Source organism: Homo sapiens, chromosome 21 (assembly GCF_000001405.40).
Source record: "Homo sapiens chromosome 21, GRCh38.p14 Primary Assembly".
NCBI classification, from domain to species: Eukaryota; Metazoa; Chordata; class Mammalia; order Primates; family Hominidae; genus Homo; species Homo sapiens.
In genome coordinates this window covers 37075860-37097966 of record NC_000021.9, presented here as the reverse complement: position 1 = coordinate 37097966, position 22107 = coordinate 37075860, and the positions used below count along the sequence as shown (strand labels likewise).

Here is a 22107-nt window from a genome sequence, read left to right as displayed (position 1 = left end):
TCTTCTTTTTAAACTCTTGTATTTTCCAAATTTTCTACCATGAGAATGTGTTCTGTTTACAATAAAAGAAAAACACAATAAATGTTATTTTTAAAGCTACATGCTTAGAGTTTACTACCTTCCCCACTCCCACCCTCCCATACAAGCGCTTTCACTGAAAAACAACTGATAGCAGACTCTCAGCTTTCATGAGAAAACTTCACAAAAAAAGTATTTGTGAAACCCAAAACTGTGCTTTCAGGGAGTTTTTTGCTATGCATAAGATACTGCTGAGATTATTCTCTACTCCATCACTCAATTAATATTACAGCCCAACTTCTTTCAAAACTAAATACTAGGAAAACTGTTTCACCTGACCAATTGGTGTCCTGTTTCTTTATGGACAATGAGAATTAAGTAACTTGTCAAGTTTTCCCATTTCATTTTGGGTAGCTGAAGGTCAGAGGCAAATATGAATTATAACTAATACCTATGCAGGACCTTATGCCTATGTAGCTTGGTTCTGAGAATCCCAGATTCCAACTTCGTTTTCTGGTTTGTTTTATTTTGAATATTCTTCTACTGTGTGGATGTATTCTTGAATTCACCCTACACCTTTCTTACAGTAAGGCAGGACAAAATTAAATATAATAGTCTACCTGCTCAATATTAATGCTCAATATATATAATTTATGTTCTAAAAATTTTATACTGGGGAACAATAAAATCATGGTGCAGTATCTTTCTCAATCTTTCTTAGCTAATAAATAAAAACTCAGCTCAAATTCAATATAAGGAACTGGAATTAATTATGACTCCACTCTCATAATATTAAATTTATTTGCTTTCTTTCACTTATGAAGGATATTTACTTAATTTTTTATACCAGGATAAACAGAGAAAAGATGAAAATGCTTCTTTTATACTATATGGATTAATTAACAGAGCATAAAGAGGTAATATAGGTGCCACAAACACAGACTTTGACATCATCAGATAAAATCTGTGTTCAAATCTTGGTATCACTATTTACTAGTGGTACACTTTGGTCATGTAAAATGTGGACTATAACATTACCTACCTATTACGGGTGCTGTGAGAACCAAATAACATATGCAAAGCACTTAAAATAATGCTTAACATATGTCTGCACTCAATCAGAATAGCTGCTGCTGTCACTGTTGTTATTATATATAAAGCCTAAGCATACTCTTTTAACCACTTAAGTATTTCTGCCAAAGAACCAGTCAAGGATTTTCTTGTATACCTGAAAAACAGAAACGTTTCCCAAAAATGGGTATTTAGCATAATAATTCAGTGGTTGAGATATTTTAACCAACTTACCTAAACTGTCCAGTACGAAGAAAACAAAGAGCTCGGTTACCATAAAGAAGGTAGTTTTCAGGTCTTAAAAAGATACAATGTTTAGTCAGTAAAGCACATTACACATGAAACAAATAAAAATCACGTAGAAAACATAAGGCATGAGAAAACTTTTTTTAAACTTTACATATGTGTGGCAAAGCAAAAAGAATATAGGACCTGGAGTCTTAACTGGCGAAGTCCCCGTTCCTTCACTTCTTACATAAGTAACTTTGTTTGAACCAACCTAAACTTCCCTATATTCAAAATGAAGATAACTCTAGTTGCTCTAACTCATAGGGCTGTTGGGGGATCAAACGAGACATATTAAAGAGCTAGCAAACTACAGAGTAACTCTAGAGGATAGGATTACTTATATAATAAGTCAGGACTATGTCGTTTTGACAAAGAACTGAGAAAGGAAGCCTACAGTAATTGCAAATTAAAATAGCTTCATTTGAACTTTTGTTTTTTAGTTTTATCTGACTGTGTGGTGAAACGTATCTCCCTTTCCTCCACTTCTTCCTCAAAAGAATAGGGCAGCAGCCTCTCAGAGGTGGTACACTAACCGGATTCCCTCATTCCCTGTGGAGATGCACAAGGGAGGAAAAAGAGCAGTGGCTACAGAGCACCCTTCAAAGGCTGCTACAATATTAGGCGGCCTGACTGAGACAATAGGCGCACAGTTATGAGGCACATCTGGAGGAAAGCTACAAAATTCTAGCAGCTGAGCAAAGAGAAGACAAGGTAGAGAGCATGTATGCATTCTCTCAATTATCCTGTAAAAGTTCCCTCTTAGAAAGCAAAAAACCCTGAATGGGTGGCATCTTAACTATTAAGAACTAATCCTTTAATCCTTTTTGACCAGTTAATAACTTGGGAGGACTTGGTTGATAGCAAAATGAGAACAAGACAAAAGAGGTAACTCTGTACTGGAAAGTTTTAAAGAAAATGGAACAGAAAATTCACCATTTTGCCTGACTTGCTTGAGTTATGCTACTACGTTAGCTTCATATACCCAGGCCATCTCCAATGCTTCCAACACCCAAGGATGAGAAAATCTATTCTGCACAAGTTGGAAGATACTCTCCAATTCTCCGTCTTGTTTTTATTTCTTCTGACTACCATTCTAACTTGATGTGCCATAGAAAAAGCATCTCTTTTGTTCTATTTGCTCTTACCTATATTCAATGGCTCTGGTGTAATAGATAATAGCTATATCAAATCTTTCTTTGGAAAACTCTTCATTTCCTTTCATTTTCATTAGTTCTCCTTCCTGAGAAACCAAGGTGAAAGAAGACCCATCAATGACCTCCAAAAATCATCAAGAACCCAATACCTAGTAAAAATGGATCTGGATTTCTATCTTCGATATCAGAAATAACATAGGGGATTATTTATGTAGAAAATGAGATTACAATACCCAATATTTTGTTACATATATATATACACACCCACTATACACACACACACACACACACACACACATATTTTTAGAGACAGGGTCTGTCACCCAGGTTGGAGGGCAGTGGTGCAATCACAGCTCACTGCAGCCTCCATCTCCCAGGCCCAAGGGATCCTCTCATCTCAGTCTCCCAAGTAGCTAGGACTACAAGTGCACCCCACCATGCCAAGCTAATTTTTAAAAATTTTTTGTAGAGACCAGGTCTTGCTATGTTACCCCAGCTGGTCTTGAACTTCTGACCTCAAGCAATCCTCCCACCTCGACCTCCCAAAGTACTGGGACTACAGGTGTGAGCCATCATGTGCAGCCTCGGTATATATATTTAAATAAACCTGTCTTGAATGACTCAACACTAACTTTGTTAGAGAATATTAAAAAGTAAACAAAACCATCACCTTATGAATAATTGCTAAAATTTTGTGCGGTATTTGGCAGACCCACTTTTAAATATACCTTATCTATAAGGCTAAAAAATAGATGCAAAGTAGAATTTTAACTTTAGGTTAGCAAATGTGATGTTATTCAAAAAGCCTTAGTGCCGAAAAACATATATAAATCAATAACATAGAGGCAATGCTGATTAGATTAATTGCAAAGCATGAGTTGGTAGGTTAACGAGAATATATATGAAAGGTGCTAGAGAAAAAACTAAAACTTTTCATTTCGAACACTCAATTTTTTAAAAATAAACTAAATCACATCATATCAACAGCATTAGGGAATTCAATACAACATTAAATATTTTCCCAAATTCCTTTTATAAAATTGAGTTAAAGTCCTATTTCCTATGAATGAACAGTGTAGCACATGAATTACATCTCAGCTGTTACCAAAGAAAATCATATTTCTTCAACTCATTAAAGACTAAAGTTTTTAAAAACCAAATTTTCACTTTCAATTAATGGTTTTTAAATCATTAGAGAACTCTGATCAAGATATTAGTTCTTTCCCTCAAATATGTCATCCAATTTTATGAATTGTATATTGTCAGCAGTTTTATTAACTTCCTCTGAGTGTTAAAAAGTTCTAATGGGCAAATCTTAAAATATATTTATAATATTCATTCTCACCTCTATACAATCCATACAACTTTGAGTTTTAAGTTCTTCAAGCAAATTGCAGTCTTCCATTACAATTTTAGTTATGTGGTACTTGTCTAAATTTTATTTTTAGGAGAGAGCAAGAGAGAACATTTGTTTAAAAAAAAACAAATTGGTATTGATAATATTCTAATTCTTGAGTTAGGTGAGTCCACAACGGTCCTATATTATTATTCTTTCTAAATAGCACATGTTTCTTGTAACCTTTTATGTCTATTAAATAACTCAGTAAAAAAATAAACTGATAAAATGTTGCAGAAAACATCAGTTATTGCTTGCTATGAATCTAATCTCACCTTTTATTTCTAGCAATAAAAAACCTTTATTTATTATTATATTAGTTGTAATTGTATTTACAATAAATGCTCTGTCATAACATATTCCAAATAGGCCACATAATTACTTAAGTCAATTCAATAAACACTGTCAAGCATGTATGGTGTACCATGCACAATATTCAATAAAAATGCATGAAAACAAAAACCTGCAAAACTACTTTCTACAATCTATTTAATATAAAGATTGAGTATCTCTTATTCAAAATGCTTGGGATCAGAAGTGTTTTGGATTTTGGATAATTTTGGATTTTGGAATATTTGCATTATACTGGGTGAGTATCCCAAATCCAAAAATTCAAAATGCTCCAATGAGCATTTCCTTTTTTTTTTTTTTTTTTTTTTTGAGATGGAGTTTCACTCTTGTTGCCCAGACTGGAGTGCAATGGCATGATCTTGGCTCACCGCAAACTCCGCCTCCCGGGTTCAAGCGATTCTCCTGCCTCAGCCTCCCGAGTAGCTGGGATTACAGGCATGTGCCACCACACCTGGCTAATTTTTTTTGTAATTTTAGTAGAGACGGGGTTTCACCATGTTAGCCAGGATGGTCTCGATCTCCTGACCTCGTGATCCACCCGCCTCGGCCTCCCAAAGTGTTGAGATTACAGGTGTGAGCCACCGCGCCCAGCGAGCATTTCCTTTGAATGTCATAGCGAAGCTCAAAAGGTTTCAAATTTTGGGGTATTTCAGATTTTGGATTTTTGATGCTCAACATATTTTAAATAAATACTTTCAAAAGTTTTTATTTAGTATTTTGACTCTCATGAGTAAAATGTTACAATGAGAAGTTATTTGAAACACTATTATTATAAAAATTTAATAAACTAATTAAGATGCAGTAAGTAACTAAAGTTTATCGGGCCTCATTTTCTACATTGTAAGCTATTATATAAAAAGGATATTTTAAAGTGGCAAAAAAAAATTTATTGCAACAAAACTATAGTTAAGCCTCTAGCCAAACATATTCATTTCTAAAGTGAAAAGAGCACCTAAAATTTAAGATTCAATAAAGGACCTAAGAAAGTCACCAAATAAAGAAATTCTAAGGGACAGAGTAAGATTACATGGAATAAAACCTGGGCTTTGAGATCAGAGAGATCTGACTTATCTAGTCTTACCTACTACTACCTACTACTTACTATACTGCAGAAACAACACTTAACCTCTCAAAGTCAGTGTGCTCACTGCTAAAACAAAGATAGTAACAGCCACCTTGCAGAGCTATTATAAAGAAAATAGAATGTAAAAAATCAGCTATAAGCCTAAAGAGGTGTACCTAGTACAAGATACTGCTTCTCTACTTCCACCATAAAATCTAGCTTATAATTAAGGGCCTCCAAAACAATGAAGAGAACAACCTCTATCAGTGTAATACACCCCAGTGTCTAATAAACCTATGAGAAAGATGTGTCTTCATTTAATTCCTTTCTAGCACTTAAGTCAATAGTGCAAAATTTGCCTTTATCTCAGCAGAGATGGTAAATTATTGGTCATCATCTACTGAAAAGCCAAACCTTTCCTGTTTCAAGATTCCTATAACTATACTATAAAAACACTGCTAATATTCAAATGCTTTAAAGAAAAATATTTCACAAAGTAAAAGAAATATGTAAGGCAGTTACCTCATACATAAAAGAACAACAGATTCATGAAGAAAATAAAAATCATAAGCTTAGCTTCAGTGACTTTTTCTTACAAAGGAGACTACCCAGTTGTGGTCTCTTTGAGTATTACATATAACAACTTACAATATCCATTCAGTGAAAATTTTTAAAGTACAATGTCATAAAAATAATTAAGACAGAAAATATAGAATAAAACTACCAGTTTGAAATTCTCTTTTTCGGCCAGGCACGGTGGCCCACGCCTGTAATCCCAGCACTTTGGGAGGCCAAGGCAGGCAGACCACGAGGTCAGGAGATCGAGATCAACCTGGTGAACACGGTGAAACCCTGTCTCTACTAAAAATACAATAAATTAGCCAGGCGTGGTAGCAGGCGCCCATAGTCTCAACTACTCGGGAGGCTGAGGCAGGAGAATGGTGTGAACCCGGGAGGCGGAGCTTGCAGTGAGCAGAGACTGCACCACTGCACTCCAGCCTGGGCAACAGAGCAAGAATCTGCCTCAAAATAAATAAATAAATAAATAAATAAATAATAAAAAAAAGAAATTCTCTTTTTCAGCCATATATAACAAAATAAAAACTTTTTTTAAATTCTAAGATAAATCAGAAATCACTTAACTACATATCTCATTTTCCCAAACACCTTTAAAAACTGAGTCAAGTAACAATTTAAAGCATTTATACTTACATTCAGTAAAGAAAATACTTAACATAGGCCAACAATTGTCAATTGATCCTAATTTAGTTAGAATTGTTACATCGCCTGCATATTTTATCCAATTCAGAGCTTCTTCCATTGCCAAGATTTTCTGTTTCAAAAGAGAAATGAAGAATGGGGCTTTGGTTATTAATTCTAAATTTGCATGTGGCATTATAAATTCATCTTATGCAAGTATTTCAGATCCTTACTACAAAACTGGTACAACCACTTATTTTTTGCTACTCTGGCATGTAACTTAGAGTAGACAGACTCTGACATATAAATTAACAGATACTATGGACTCATATATGTTACCTCTTCAGGTGACTTCAGGCCACCCTCAGAGCTCAAGATGCTTCTGCAATTACTACAGACCTGCAATTTGAGGTCTACAACCTGGCCAGACTGCCTGGGGTAGCAGGCAAGTGCAATATAACAAGGTGGATGAGGGTTCTCAGATCTCATCTACACAAAGACTTCCATCCTTACCCCAAGGTTAAATTTATAGATTAAAGTTCTCCAAAGGAACTACATATTTTACGTGGTCTGTGGCAAACAGAAGAATAAGGAGATAAAGAACAAGAGGAAGATGTGGCTGGGCAAATGGGCACTCAGTGCAGTGATCTCCATGAAGGATCAAGAATTCACAGAAATGTTATTTGTACTTCTAATGTCTAAAGTAACTTCAAAAATTAAAGTTAACAATGGGCTTAAGGTAAACATAGATGTTTATGGCATCAGTATCATTAAAAATTGGTTTAACATTGAATCTGGAGATTACCTAGTAATTATATAACAAAAAATATTCATACCAGAGGCCTAATAATTTCATTTGGGGAAACATAAGCCAGGTAAATAATCTAAAAGAGAAAAAGAATCAACTTGTAAAATAGGCTCAAAATTACACTATGTACATGGGTAAAAAAAAAAAAAAGAGAGAAAATGATCCAAACCCCCAAAATGAGGAGTCTCCTTAAGGAAAATATAGAAGTCAATACTACCAAATACCACATATAGAACATTGAGTGTATGGACCCAATGCAAGGGGAAATGAGCAGTGAGATGACTGCCACTCATCCACAGTGGCTGTGCCAGTTTCAGTGTTTAACACTTACATTTTCTATTTTACAACCAATTCTCAATAAGCCTCCAATAAGGAATGAATCATTCTGAAAAATAAAAAAAGGACATATTTTTTCCTTATTCAGTCAATTCTACTTGAATTTTCTAACGGAAAAATGGCCTACATTTTAGGAACACTACTATATGTACTCAGTAGTACACTTCCGACAAGCATTTACATGACCAAGTTACCCCTTAAGATCTTAAGACAAGAATTCCAAAATAGTCTCCAATAGGGTTCTAGCAGTAAAATAACTTAGTATAATCTTTAGACATGTGAATTTTTTTTTTTTTTGAGACAGGGTCTCACTCTGTCACCCAGGCTGGAGTGCAGTGGCGCAGTCTCAGCTCACCACAACCTCCACGTCCCAGGCTCAAGCAATTCTCCTGCCTCAGCCTCCCAACTACCTGGGATTACAGGCACGTGCCACTACCACCCGGCTAATTTTTGTATTTTTAGTAGAGGTGAGGTTTCTACAGGCTCACACTGGTAATCCCAGCACTTTGAGAGGCCGAGGCGGGTGGATCATCTGAGGTCAGGAGTTCGAGACCAGCCTGGCCAACATGGTGAAACCCCGTTTCTACTAAAAATACAAAAGTTAACTGGGCATGGTGGCAGGCGCCTACAGTCCCAGCTACTCGGGAGGCTGAGGCAGGAGAATCGCTTGAATCCGGGAGGCGAAGATGGCAGTGAGCCAAGATCTCGTCACTGCACTCCAGCATGGGCGACAGAGGGTGACTCCATCTCAAAAATAATAATAATAATAAAGTTCATTGCACTTAATTTTTTTTATAAAGGTACACTGGTTTGTATGTTACTGCAAATAACTACTGCAGAAAATAAACATCAGAATGCCCTTTCTAAATTTAATAGTACCAAGAACAACACTTGACTCCATAACCAACTGAAATTTAAAAAGCTATCCAATAGCTTTCAAAAAAAAATTAAAAACCACAAAAACTCTCAACTTATCTCAATAGCATAATGAAGGACACCTCCTCAAATCTGCCCTGATAAAGTCTACCTACCCAAAGACAAAATATTTGTTGATGGTGATGTGATTTTATATCAACAGATAGAGCACATCACTTTCAGAACCTGTGGCAAAGGTTTTCATGAACCCATACCCCACTTTCTGTGACAAGTTCCAATTTCTATCCTTTAATGACAAGATGCAGTCCTGGTCCCCAGCGTAGAACCATGACATCAGCCATCTCCCTGATCTCTCAAATACTGAGCACGCACTGATGGACAGCAGATTTATCTCAGGTTAACCAAAACTAAAACCATTACCTGTTAATTGCTATAAATTAGTCATTTGAGCCTAACACCATATAAATGCTTATATTATTTAAACCAAGGGCTCGGGGGAACCTACATTCTACCACTTACAGCAACTTTCTTTGCCAAATCCACAATATCTTCCATCAACTCAAGATGTTGTAGTTTCTTCAAATTTATCTCAGAAGCACGTGAATTGCTTAAAGACAAATTTATTTTTTAAAAGATTAGATTCTCATATATACAAATTCATTGAACTTTATGCTTAGCTATATATCTCAAACCATTAAAAAATAAGTTCTCTTTTTCTTCACTCTAGGTAACAATAACTAAGCTATTTATTAAATGAACAAAATACTGTATCTTTTTCCTCTCTTCTGCACTATAACACTGATACTTATAAACACCCATGTTAATTCCTCCTGACTCAGCTTCCAGTCTACCATCTAGTACTATTCAGAATTTCACTGATTATGTTACAATTATTCATTCATATCCAAATCTCAAGTATTTGTTTTTTCCACCCTATTACACAAACGTTGAGCAGCATACAAGAATAAGACATAAGCCTTCCATTGAACTTGCATTTCTTGGTATTGGGTAACATGTTTATCACTGTCCACACAAAATGAGCAACATATAGTAACTTACTTGGCGTCCACACAGGGATGCAATCGTGATATTACGGAACTGTTTTGATGTTGAAACAGAAGTGGCCAGAAGATGTTTATTTTAATGGCATCGCAATAATCTTGCAGGACAGAAATTGGTTTACTACACCATATACTGCAGATGTCAAATTCTTAATTAAAAAAAAAGTTTAAAATTAATGTTTGTGCCTCATTTTTTTAATGAATCAACACTTAATAGTAAAAAGGCAAAAATGGATATGGAGAGGGAAGAAATGAATGAATGAAGTATTCTAGCCTGTTAAATGTTAAGAATATTTAAGTGCTGGCAAAAACTCTATTTTAACAAAGAAAAGTTCTGATTTCTAGTGAAAAACTAGTAAGAATACATTTTTAAAAGGCATATAAATCTGTTGTATTGCTATGACAGGATGGATGGACCTCCCTTTGTAGTCTTTCCATAAATTAACATTAAAAATACCAACGTACTCACCCAAATTCCTCTCACTTTGGATATAATCTTTATATTGCACACCCTAAAAAGAAGAAAATTATTTTGATTTGTGTCTAGTAAAATGTTCTTGATTTTTAATCTAAGGATTATCAGAACTAACCAAAGAACTTTCAGTGGGCATTTATTTATATGCTTCAAACACATCTTCAGCCAAAGAGTCTTAATTTGAGACCCGTTTTACAGTATTACCTGAGTTTGCTTCTATGGCTCTCCCCAAGAGCTTTTCTTATGCCCTGTCAGAAAACCACCTTTTGCCACCACTCATTCTCTGGCACTCCACAATCTTATTTTTGAGCCAGTGCTTACTTTCCCTTCTCAAATCAACTTTTCAACAGCATGTGTACCTCCCTGTCAAAACGCACGTACCACAAAAACATCTTTACTCAGATAGCCCTAAACCAGAAAACCTTCAATACACAATGTCAAAAATGAAAAATTAGCAAACCTACTTACCACCCCATCACAGTAAAGCTGAGTCACACGAACATAATCATTGCTCATAAATTCAGCAGCAAAGACACAATCATCCACGTGAGGGCAATCTTCTAACAAGGCATAATCCGCCACAGTGAAATCTCCCTCAGCAAAATTGTCCATGGTGCACAAGTCTAAGGAGACAACACAAACTCAAGTCAGTAATTAAATCATTTGAGATAACAGAAGAAAGTTTTCCTGGCTTCTATGGTATATTAGAAAAATACTTGGAACCTATGCCCAAGGAAATAACTCCTATCAGAACACTGAGCTCCGAAAGATTCTCGTCCCCATTCTGCTGACTTTTCCTCTCTCTCCAGATAATTTAATCTATTTCTTCCTTTCCTCAGGTTCACATATTCACCATCTCTACTCTAAGTTAACCTGTTTACATGTCTCCTTTAAATAGAGGATCATCAAGGGCATCTTATTTATCTTTGTATGTGCCTAGCACATGGTAAGCTCTCAAATAAGTGTTTGCTGAATGAAGAAAAGACATCTTCCTGTTGCTGCACTTGTACCCTACCTGCTTTTACTGCATTCTGTGAAATATGCCATTTCATCATACACAAACTGTTATATTCTCAATCTCCTGGCCTAACCTAAATCCTGACTCCACTGAGAACTTTCCTATCAACTGCTCATATTCTCCTATCCATCTCAGTGTGTTTCTGTCTTGGGCAAAGGAGTAGGGCTAGAGTGGTACAGGGTAAGTCTGCCAATCTCCTAACTCCCCAAGGCGGCATCCAGACCTTCCATCCTCCTATCGACTGCTGCTTCTAATGCTCTCACAACTACTGCAATACACAATCAGCACTGCTAAATCGCAAAAAGGAAAAAACCCTCACATTATCAAAAGCCATGTTTTAAAAATACGTATTTCAATGGGGGGCAAGGGGGATTGGTGGTAAAGTTTCAGACTAAGGGTTTTTTTTCCTGAAGAATCTTCAATAATAAGGATTTTTATAGTTATCAGAGAATAGCTACATAGGCCAAACATCACTGAAAAATGCACCATTTTATTACTTCTAGCTCTTGCCCATATAATGGCTTTCTTTTCCTATCATCACCAGCGCATCATAAACACTATTACTTGTACCTATCACTTCACCATTATTATCCTACTATTATTAGGATAAACCAAGTTTCTTCTTTCCAAAGCAAGAACACTACCAGTCCTTGAAGTTCAAATCTATTTATTTAATCAATCCATCTCATGATGTCCAATTTGCTGTATGAAAACTTCACAATATCACAAGTGAAGAATAATAACAATCTTCCTAGCAAACTATTTGTACTATGTGTCACATACTGTACCAAATGTTTTACATGCATTATTTCACTAATCTTCACAGCAATTCTTCTTAGCAGGCACAATTATCGTTATCTCCACTGTACAGATGGGAAAATGCTCACTTAAATCAAGTAATTTGCTCATGTCACCAAGCTAGGAAGGATTCAAATCCAGTCTTTAGTTGCCATAGCTTCTGCTCTCAAACACTCTCTTTTACTACATCTAATTTTCCTGTCATTGTCACCTATTTATCTCTTGGTTACTGTCACGTTTCAAGATCACTGGCAACTAGTTCAGTGTTTTTCTCTTTCCTCCAAATTCTATCATCATCCCAGCCACATCGAGGTCCATGCACACAATACCCTAGCCTTGTAGTTTAACAACCTCCTCAACTAACATGATCTTCACTGCCTACCTCACTAGGCTCTCCCACCCCAGGGGGACACCTCAGATCACTACCTGGGTCGAAACCAGTTCTTAAATCTTTATTAGCTCCTCTCTGACCATAGCCAAGAGTCATTACGGCTCATGTCTTCCTGATTTCCTACCACAGCCATTCTTCAACTTCATCAAGAACTCTTCATTTTTCACCCATCTGAATCCTCCATTCTCATTCACTGTCAGTTTCCTAACAATTTGGTTTCCACTTCGACCATTCAAGGGAAACTGCTTTCATTAGGATCATTAATGACCTTCCACAAAAGACTGGTTATCTATAATGTCTAGAACCTGACCTATTCTGCATGAATATTTCTAGAGTTTAAAAAATTTAACTCTAAAAGTGAACAATGACCAGAAAACATAAGATACTGGAGCACCCAAACTATAGCACATAATATGAGGTATATGCTAATCTCACTTGTCTTACAAATTTTTTTGGCATAAAATACAGAAAGAGCCAAGAACTGTCACAGCCCACACATCATGGCATCAATTACAATACAATTAATGTGCTCATACCTGGCAGACTGATACTGGTCATTCAAGCCTAGCGAATCTCACTGATAACACACACAGCACCAATTGTACTGTAATTACGACACTGGGGTATATTTTATTTTCTATTTTGTTTTGGTTTGTTTGTTTGTTTGTTTGAGACACAGTCTCACTCTGTCGCCCAGGCTGGAGTGCACTGGCACGATCTCGGCTCACTGCAACCTCCACTTCCCGGGTTCAAGCGATTCTCCTGCCTCAGCCTCCCAAGTAGCTGGGACTACAGGTGCCCACCACCACGCCCAGCTAATTTTTGTATTTTTAGTAGAGACAGGATTTCACCATATTGGCCAGGCTGGTCTTGAACTCCTGACCTTGTGATCCGCCCGCCTCGGCCTCCCAAAGTGCTGGGATTACAGGCGTGAGCCACCGCACCCGGCCTTGTATTTTGTTTTTAACTAGAGAGGCAATGTGACAAAGTGGTTAAGAACAGGGACTCTGCAGCCAAGACTCTGGGCTTGAGTCCTGGCTCTCTTGTTTCCTTGGGTGTGTGATCTTGGGCAAGTTACTTAACCTCTCTGTGCTTCCTCTGTGTTTCCTCGCATATCAAATGGGGATAACGATACTACCTACCTGATCAATCTGTTAATACATGTAAAGAGCTTAGAAGAGTACCAGGTATATGGGAAATGCTATAAATACCAGCTATCATTAACATTAATGTTAGATGAGTATTTTTAAAATCCACTGTTTGGATGCTTCCAGCTAAATAGTCTACCTTAATTGCTAAATCCAAAGAGCACTTTTCAGCTTACAACTTACTTGACGCTGTGGACCACTTCCTCCTCAGAACTCTTCATTTGGACTCCAAAGACCATCTTCTCCTGGTTTTCCTCCTATTCGTCTGGCTGCTCTTCCTCAGTTTCCTTCATGGGTTCTTCTTCTCCATTCCCCGCCACCCAATGTCAACTCTCTTTTCTTCTCACTCTTACTCTCTCCTTGGGTGAATTTATCCACCACACCCATGACTTAACACAGCACTTTCTGAACTTGCATCGTTTGCATAGCTTCACCGTGATTTTTGCCATTTCCATGTATCACATATATTTTTAGTTAATATTTCCCTTTTATTGAGCTCACTTGGCCTAAGTGATAATGTCCATGATTATCAAAGGTTAGATGTGCAAGTTATGTTTCTCATACACATTAAATTCCTATCTATTAAAATTTTTTCAAGTGTTTATCTATGTACCAGTTTAAATTATCTCATATGCACTGCAGTAAACAATGGCTTCCAAAATTCCAAATGCTGAAGACTCCCAAATCCTTCCAGGCGGGGTTGTATCTCTTGACTTCTAGACCCTACTAGAACTACTACAGGATCTTAACCAAGATGTCCCACAAGCCCCTCTGAATCAGGAAGTTCAAAAACAAACATCTTTTCCTCAAAAACAAACATATGAAATGAAGTTCTTTCCTCTTTCTGTATGCTGTTTATCAGTTAATTGTTCTACATGTCATTTTACTGCCCAAACCTAAACCCTGGGAGTCAACCTAGACTCCCCAGTCTCCTTCAATATTTCTGTCCAATGGACCACTAACTCTTGTCATTTCTGCTTCCCTAAGAAATCTAAAATTAGCACACATATACTTCTTCATGCCCAGTGCCACTGCCTTCACTGTTTCTCCTCTGAACTAATTTAACAAGCAGTCTCCTAACTGGTCAGACTTGCCTTCAATCTTGGCATCCTCTAAAACTCTGATCATATCACTTTACTGCTTAAAACCATGCAACAGCTTCCCTTCAGCTTGAGAATAAAGTCCAACTTCCCTAATATAAGCATAGAAGACCTTTTGTGATCTTGCTCCTGCTTTTATCCCCAGTCACTCCACAACACACAACCTAGAAGCCAGTCATACCCAACTGCTTGTCCTTCCTAAACAAAACTTATTCTGCAACCACCTAATGTCTATTAGTTCTTAATACTCAATTTCAGGAAGCATTTCCTGATCTTCCCACTACCATCAAGTTGATTTTTGCACCTCTTCTCTGTAAACAAGAGCACCCTGCCCATGTCTCTGACAGCAGTTTTCACATTGTTTGACCATCACAGGTTTATCTCTGCAGGGTCACTATGGATCCAGAGGATATATTGTGCAATCCATTTGCCATCTGTACTGCTATTTACTTAATACTTTTCTTTAGGATAACTCAAATCTTAACTTAGATGTAAACTAGTTTTAATGGAAATGTTGGTATCACCAAGAAAGCTTGCTTGGTACCATAAAATTTTTTATAATACAATCAAACAAAAATATACTACTAAAATTAAATATTAAAATAAAGAGCTTCTGATCCCATCAGTTATGGTCAACTATACACTCTGGGGGAATGTACTGTTGGGAGGAAAAAGGTATATCCTAGATTAAAAAAAAAAACACTTTTTGGATGTTTTTGCTGAGCTCATAGAAATAGGGGAACATGTGAAGGCACCCTCTCCACGCAAAAGCAACAAACCTTGAGCTAGAAATTAAACCTGGCTACAGTTTAGTGCTACAAGTAGTGGTGCCAAGAGCAGTAATAGGATCAGGACACTGAGCCCTGGGCCAGAAGCAAAATGTAGGAACTCAAAAGTGATGCCAGCTAAACTTTCTGGCTCCCAGACAAAGCTGATAGAAATGCTTTCAGAAAGCAAGCATCCTCAAATTAGACTCTCAAGATCACCACAAAGATCAAACAGAAGTTCATAATCAATGATCACCAAACACATGAGGTGACAGCTACATTGAGGAGAGACAACAGAAAAAAAAACAAAAAAGCAATAAATTTAGACATCCCCCTCCTCAAGGATATCAGACATTGGGAATGTCTGATATAGTCTACAGAATAGCTATAGAGTCACAAAAATCAGCATATAACATGAGAACATGAAGAATGACTGGACATATCAAAAAAGAACCAGGCAGAACTTTTAGAAATTAAAAATGCGGCCGGGCATGGTGGCTCATGCCTGTAATCCCAGCACTCTGGGAGGCCAACGTGAGCAGATGACGAGGTCAGGAGATCGAGACCATCCTGGGTAACACGGTGAAACCCCGTCTCTACTAAAAATACAAAAAAATTAGCCGGGCGTGGTGGCGGGCGCCTGTAGTCCCAGCTACTCGGGAGGCTGAGGCAGGAGAATGGCGTGAACCCGGGAGGCGGAGCTTGCAGTGAGCTGAGATCGCGCCTCTGCACTCCAGCCTGGGCGACAGAGAGAGACTCCATCTTAAAAAAAAAAAAAAAAAGTAATTAAAAATGCAATTGTTAAAAGAAAAAAAAGAGACAGGATGGGTTACAGAGGATATTAGGCACAGTTGAAGAGAAAATTGGTGAACTAAAATATATGCCTTATGAAATTATCCAGCACTGTAAATTCTGGTAAAGAGAAACAAAGAGATAAAAAATATGAAAGATAAAGAATAAGTGATCTGGAAACAGTTTAGTGTATATATATATCCAGTTAAAGTTCCAGCAGGAGAGAAGAGACTAATGAGACATAATATTTAAAGAATACAGGGCTCAGAAACTTCTAGATCTCATGAAAGACAAAATGCAGAATCATGAAACACATGCATCCAAAATAGGATAAATATAATCTCTATCTAGACTTAGAAGTGAAATGATGTAACACAAAAGACAGAAAATCCAATGTAACTAAAAGAAAAATGATATTTTCTTCAAAAAACGCATAAATAGGCTGGGTGCAGTGGCTCACGCCTGTAATCCCAGCACTTTGGGAGGCTGAGGCGGACAGATCACGAGGTCAAGAGATCAAGACCATCCTGGCCAACATGGTGAAACCCCATCTCTACTAAAAATACAAAAATTGGCCAGGCATGGTGGCAGGTGCCTGTAGTCCCAGCTACTTGGGAGTCTGAGGCAGGAGAATCGCTTGAATCCAGGAGGCGGAGGTTGCAATGAGCCAAGATGGCGCCACTGCACTCCAGCCTAACAACACAGCAAGACTCCACCTCAAAAAAAAAAAAAAAAAAAAAAAAAAAGGCATAAATAAAACTGGCAGCACACTTTGTATAAGCAACAGCAGAATAGTATTCCTACCCTACTGACAGAAAAGAAACACCAACCTACAATTGTACATCCATCAAAATGATCTGTCAAGAACAAAGGTAAAATAAAAATACTTTTAGATTTTTTTTAATATCTAAAACTGAGTCAAACACCAACCAAGACACCTGGAACATAACCAATTAAAAGACAGAAGTTGTCTGGTGAGATTAAAAGAAAAATCCAGTAGTATGTCCCTTATAAGAGACACTTAAAATGTAAGGACACTAAAAAAAATCAAAGTAAAATGAAAGAAAAGAATATTCCAGGTAAATTAGCACCAAAAGAAAGACGGGATCAGACAAAAAGCCTCTAAGACAAAGAAGCAAACTTAGAGAAGATCACAATATAGTAAAGGTTCGAGCCACTAGGAAAAAAATGTTAAGCTTGCATGTAGCTAATAAAAGTCTCAAAATACAGAAGAACAAAAATTGTTAGAACTACAGGAAATCTGTTAGAAACTAGTAATGGTGGAATATTGCAACACACTTCTCTCAGTTAATGATAGGATAAACCAAAATTAATAAGGATAAAGACTATCAGAACAACACAAATAACAAGCTTTACCTAATAGACACTTAACAATTACAGAATATATACTCTTCACAAGTGTACACAGAACAGTTCTAATAATTCACTATGTACAAGGCCATAAAGCAAGGGCAAAAAAAAAAAAATGCTAAAAAGATAAAATATTCTCTGGCAACACAAGTAAGAAATCGATAATTAAAGGAAAACAATATAGACACATTTGAAAATTTAAAAATGTCTAAGTAACTCATAAGTCAAAGAAAAAATCAAAATAGAAATTGTAAAAATACTTAGATTTGAAAGTTAATGAAAACACTATAAATTAAACTATGTTAGATAAGCAAAAATGAACTTTGAGGAAGTTTACAGTCTTGCATGCTTATACTAGGAAATCGGAATGGTTGAAAATTAATATTAAGTGTGTAATTTAAGTGAAAAAAATAGTAAAATAATAAACTGAAAGTAAAATGAAATAATAAAAGAGAAAAAAGATCAATGAAATAAAAAACAAATAATAGAACAAATTAGGCCAAAAGTTAATCCTTTGCCAAGATTTTAAAAATGGACAAACTTTTACTAAGACTGATCAAGAAAGAGAAGTCAGACATAAATAATATTCAACATGAGAAAAGGGGAACACATATACAAATAAAACAGAGATTAAAAAGAGAATTAATGCCATACCACGAGCGGTGGCTCACACCTGTAATCCTAGCACTTTGGGAGGCCGAGGTGGGCAGACCACTTGAGGTCAGGAGTTTGTGAAGAGCCTGGCCAACATGGTGAAACTCCGTCTCTACTAAAAATACAAAAAAATCAGCCAAGCATGGTGGCGCACGGCTGTAATCCCAGCTACTCAGGAGGCTGAGGCAGGAGAATCGCTTGAACTCAGGAGGCAGAGGTTGCAATGAGATGGCACCACTGCACTACTCCAGCCTGGGCAACAGAGGGAGACTCTATCTTAAAAAAAAAAAAAAAAAAAAAAAAAAAAAAAAAACCATACCATAAACTTGATGAAAGGACAAATTTCTAAAACTTACCAAAACTGACTAAAAGAAATAGAATACCTGAACAGTCCTATGACTGTTCAACTGCTAATTACTACTAAACCTCCAAGAAGAAAACATTAGATCCAAATGACCTTATAGTTAAGTTCCACCAAGCTTTTAAGAAACAAATCACTCCAATCCAAACTCTCCCAGGGAACAGAAAAAGAGGAACTATTCTCTAACTCATGGTATAAAGTCAGTGTAACTTTAATACCCAAGTCAGATAAGACAGCCAATAAAGAAAAATGAGAAGTGATTCTAGCCATAAACAGACACAAAAATCTAAATAAAATATGAGCAAACTCAATCTAGTAGTTCATAAAAATATAATCTATAAAGACCAATTTGGGTTTATCTCAAGAAAGAATATAAAAGAAAATGAACAGTTTTAAATCTATAAAACGGAATTCATTACATTTAACAGATTAAAGAAGAAAAGACACAAGATATTCTCAACAAATGCAGAAAAGCATGTGACAACTGAAAAGACTTCCCTAACTTAATCAAAGGTATCTACAAAAATTCACAGCAAATGTTATTCTCAGCTGAGAAATATTCTCTTTAAAATTGAGAACAAGAACTCTATGCCCACTATAATCGCTTCTAATGAACAACCCTAATCACTTCCATTGAACGTAAGTATAAAGTATGCCAGCACATTTAAGACCAAAAAAATGAATAAATTAAAAGCAAAAATAACTAGAAGAACTAAAACTGTCACTATTTGCAAATGATATAATTATCCACACAGAAAACACAAAGGAATTTCAGAAAAAATATTAGAAGTAGTAAGTTTATCAAGTGGATGACTAAAGGGTCAATATTTTTAAAAATTCATTAAATTTCTATTTAACAATAAGTTAAAATATTTACTAACAATAAATAAGTTAAGATAGAATCTTTAAGAACACCACCATTTATAATAGCAACAAAAACAATAACATCAGAATTAACATATGAAAAAGTGGAAGACCTCTATGGAGAATATTACAAAACTACACTAAAACTTTACATAAATAGAGATACATACCATATTCTTAAAAATAAAAAGGATCAAAATCTTAAAGATTTCGATTCTCCCCCAAACTGATTCAATTAATTCTAATTAATACCTACAGGGTTTTTCATGTCATGTAACAAGCTAATTCTTAAGAACAAATGACCAAAAATAGGTGAGATTCAAGTCCTCCCCAGATACCGAGATTTCAGGTAAAACTATAGTATTAATGATTAAGACAGTGTGGTATGAACACAGAGACAGACAAGGTGACAAGTGACACAGAAAGGCAAGCCAAAAACAGACCCATGCAGGTAGTAACTAAACATGTAAAAGAGATGGCACAGCAGACCACTGGTGAACAGAGGGCCAATTCAATACATGGTACAGGGATAATTAGAACCACACAGGAGAAAAAAAAAATCAATGTGGATCACTATCTCAGAACATACACAAAAATCAATTCCAGATAAATTATGAACTTAAATGTGGAAGACATCATTTTAAAACCTCTAAAAAGAAACAGAGGAATGTCTTTATAAGCCCAGGGCAAGAAAGGTTCCAATCAGATTATGTTAAAATTAAGAACTTCTGTTCACCAAAATACACCATAAACAGTAGAAAGACAGGCCACAAACCAGAAAAAGATATTTACAACGCACATAATCGATGTTACCAGTTTTAAAAGACAACTCATCAGAACAAAGGGTAAAATATATGACTAGATATTTCATAAAAAGGAAACAAAGACAGTTCATAAACATACAAAAGATGCTCAATCTCATTAATAACAAAAAATGCAAATTAAAACCACAATGATGCATCATTTCATACCCATTCCATTGGCAAATATTAAGTCTGACAATAACAAGTGTTGGAGAGGTTGTAGATCAACTGTAACTCTTACACACTGTTGATCAAAGTATATAAACAGACAAAACTGCTGGCCAAAGTACAAACTGATACAACCCCTTCAGAAAGTAATCTGACATTATTTTGTAAAGCTGATCATTCATACCCCTTGATCTAGCAATCCCATTTCTAGCAAACAGCTTACTATAGTGATACGGCAGTATTTCTTTCTCTTTTCTTTTTCTTTTGCTGCTGAACAAATTAACATGGTGGTATTTCAACCTTTTTTTTTTGCTCGCAAACCACCAAAAGTGCTTTTTAAAATTGCATACCCTTTACCCATTAAGATGACATTTAAAAAATATCACCATAAGATTAAATAATTGCAAAGGGTGAATTTCTAGAACATCACAGTAACATTTTAAAGTAAAACTGATTATCTCATTCTTTTAAATGTATAATTATTACCAGCATATGGTTGGCCAAAAAATATACCCTGATAACATAAAAAAAAAAGCAACTTTATTGGAAATATCTCTCTTAAGGAAATGGATGGGGAAGTGCCAGGATTAAAAGAGGCTTTCCCTAACACTATAGTGGTATTTTAAATTATCCCTTTGTAGGCCAGGCGCGGTGGCCTGTAATCCCAGCACTTTGGGAGGCCGAGTCGGGCAGATCACCTGAGGTCAGGAGTTCAAGACGTGCCTAGCCAACATGGTGAAATCCCGTCTCTACTAAAAATACAAAATTAGCCGGGTGTGGTGGTGCGCGCCTGTAATCCCAGCTACTCAGAGGCTGAGGCAAGAGAATCACTTGAACTTGGGAGGCAGAGGTTGCAGTGAGCCGAGATCGTGCCATTGCACTCCAGCCTGGGCAAAAAGAGCAAAACTTCACTCAAAAAAAAAAAAAAAAAAAAAAAAAATCCCTTTGTTTTCCCCAAGGGAGTTTTCCCCCTTTGGGCAATGCCATAGTAAGATTCCACAAGAACCTGTGGTTTGCCTGTCTTATGTAAAGTGCAATGTTAGAAACACAAGGTAAGAAAGTAGCACTAGCAGGAGGCCTCAGGCATTACCATTTTTAGGAAAGAGTACCTATGGAATGTAATGATCTAGAAACTGATTCATTAACATCATTTGTACCCACACATTCCTTAGCAAATCTTCATTACTCCTCTGGGGCTCATATACCCCAGTGTGAAAATTAGAAAAATTCTTACAACTGTGAACCAAAAAGTATATAACTTCATAACAGCAAAACCTAGAAACAACCAAAATGCCCATTAACAGAAGAATGCATACACTGTGTTATATTCACACTTGGAATATTACACAGCAGTGAAAATTAATGACTTACATCTATACCCAATATTAGTAACTCAGAAACATAACATCAAGTGAAATAAGCAAGTCCCAGGAAACTATACCCAATATGATTTTTTCCACTCAAAAACAACAGAAACCATACAATACATTTTTGAGGGATGTATACATATCTGATAAAATTATTTTTAAAAACAAGGCATAATATACACAATTCAGGATGGTAGTCACCTCTGGAAGTAAGCACATTCAATACTGGTCATTTTGATTATTGGATTGAGTGGTGAATTCATAGGTGTTCATTTTATTGTTCTGCTATACAGCTTGCATATGTTTTACATATATTTTGAATTTATCAAATACTACAATAAAATGGAGAGGAAAAGAAAAATTTTTTAAACATTCATCATAAGAAAAAAAATACTTTTAATTAAATCA

At 36.1% G+C, this 22107-nt stretch overlaps 1 protein-coding gene across 10 annotated transcripts in view; it reads right to left on the bottom strand.

Moving 5' to 3' along the window:
- TTC3 (tetratricopeptide repeat domain 3) overlaps nt 1-22107 on the bottom strand; it is a 129865-nt gene that overhangs the window by 105152 nt on the left and 2606 nt on the right. For 5 of the 10 annotated variants that reach the window (NM_001320703.2, NM_001320704.2, NM_001330683.2 and 2 more), the window contains exons 2-10: nt 10566-10720; nt 10092-10134; nt 9621-9771; nt 9081-9168; nt 7681-7734; nt 6554-6674; nt 3877-3962; nt 2523-2617; nt 1324-1386 (exon numbers count right to left, since the gene is read on the bottom strand). The exons of 4 other annotated variants lie outside the window; for them this stretch is intronic. In NM_001320703.2, the coding sequence (NP_001307632.1) occupies nt 1324-1386; nt 2523-2617; nt 3877-3962; nt 6554-6674; nt 7681-7734; nt 9081-9168; nt 9621-9771; nt 10092-10134; nt 10566-10720 (856 nt within the window). Of the gene's footprint in view, nt 1-1323; nt 1387-2522; nt 2618-3876; nt 3963-6553; nt 6675-7680; nt 7735-9080; nt 9169-9620; nt 9772-10091; nt 10135-10565; nt 10721-13635; nt 15021-22107 lie in introns of those variants that run through there. One more of the 10 variants, NM_003316.4, reaches the window with a different exon arrangement.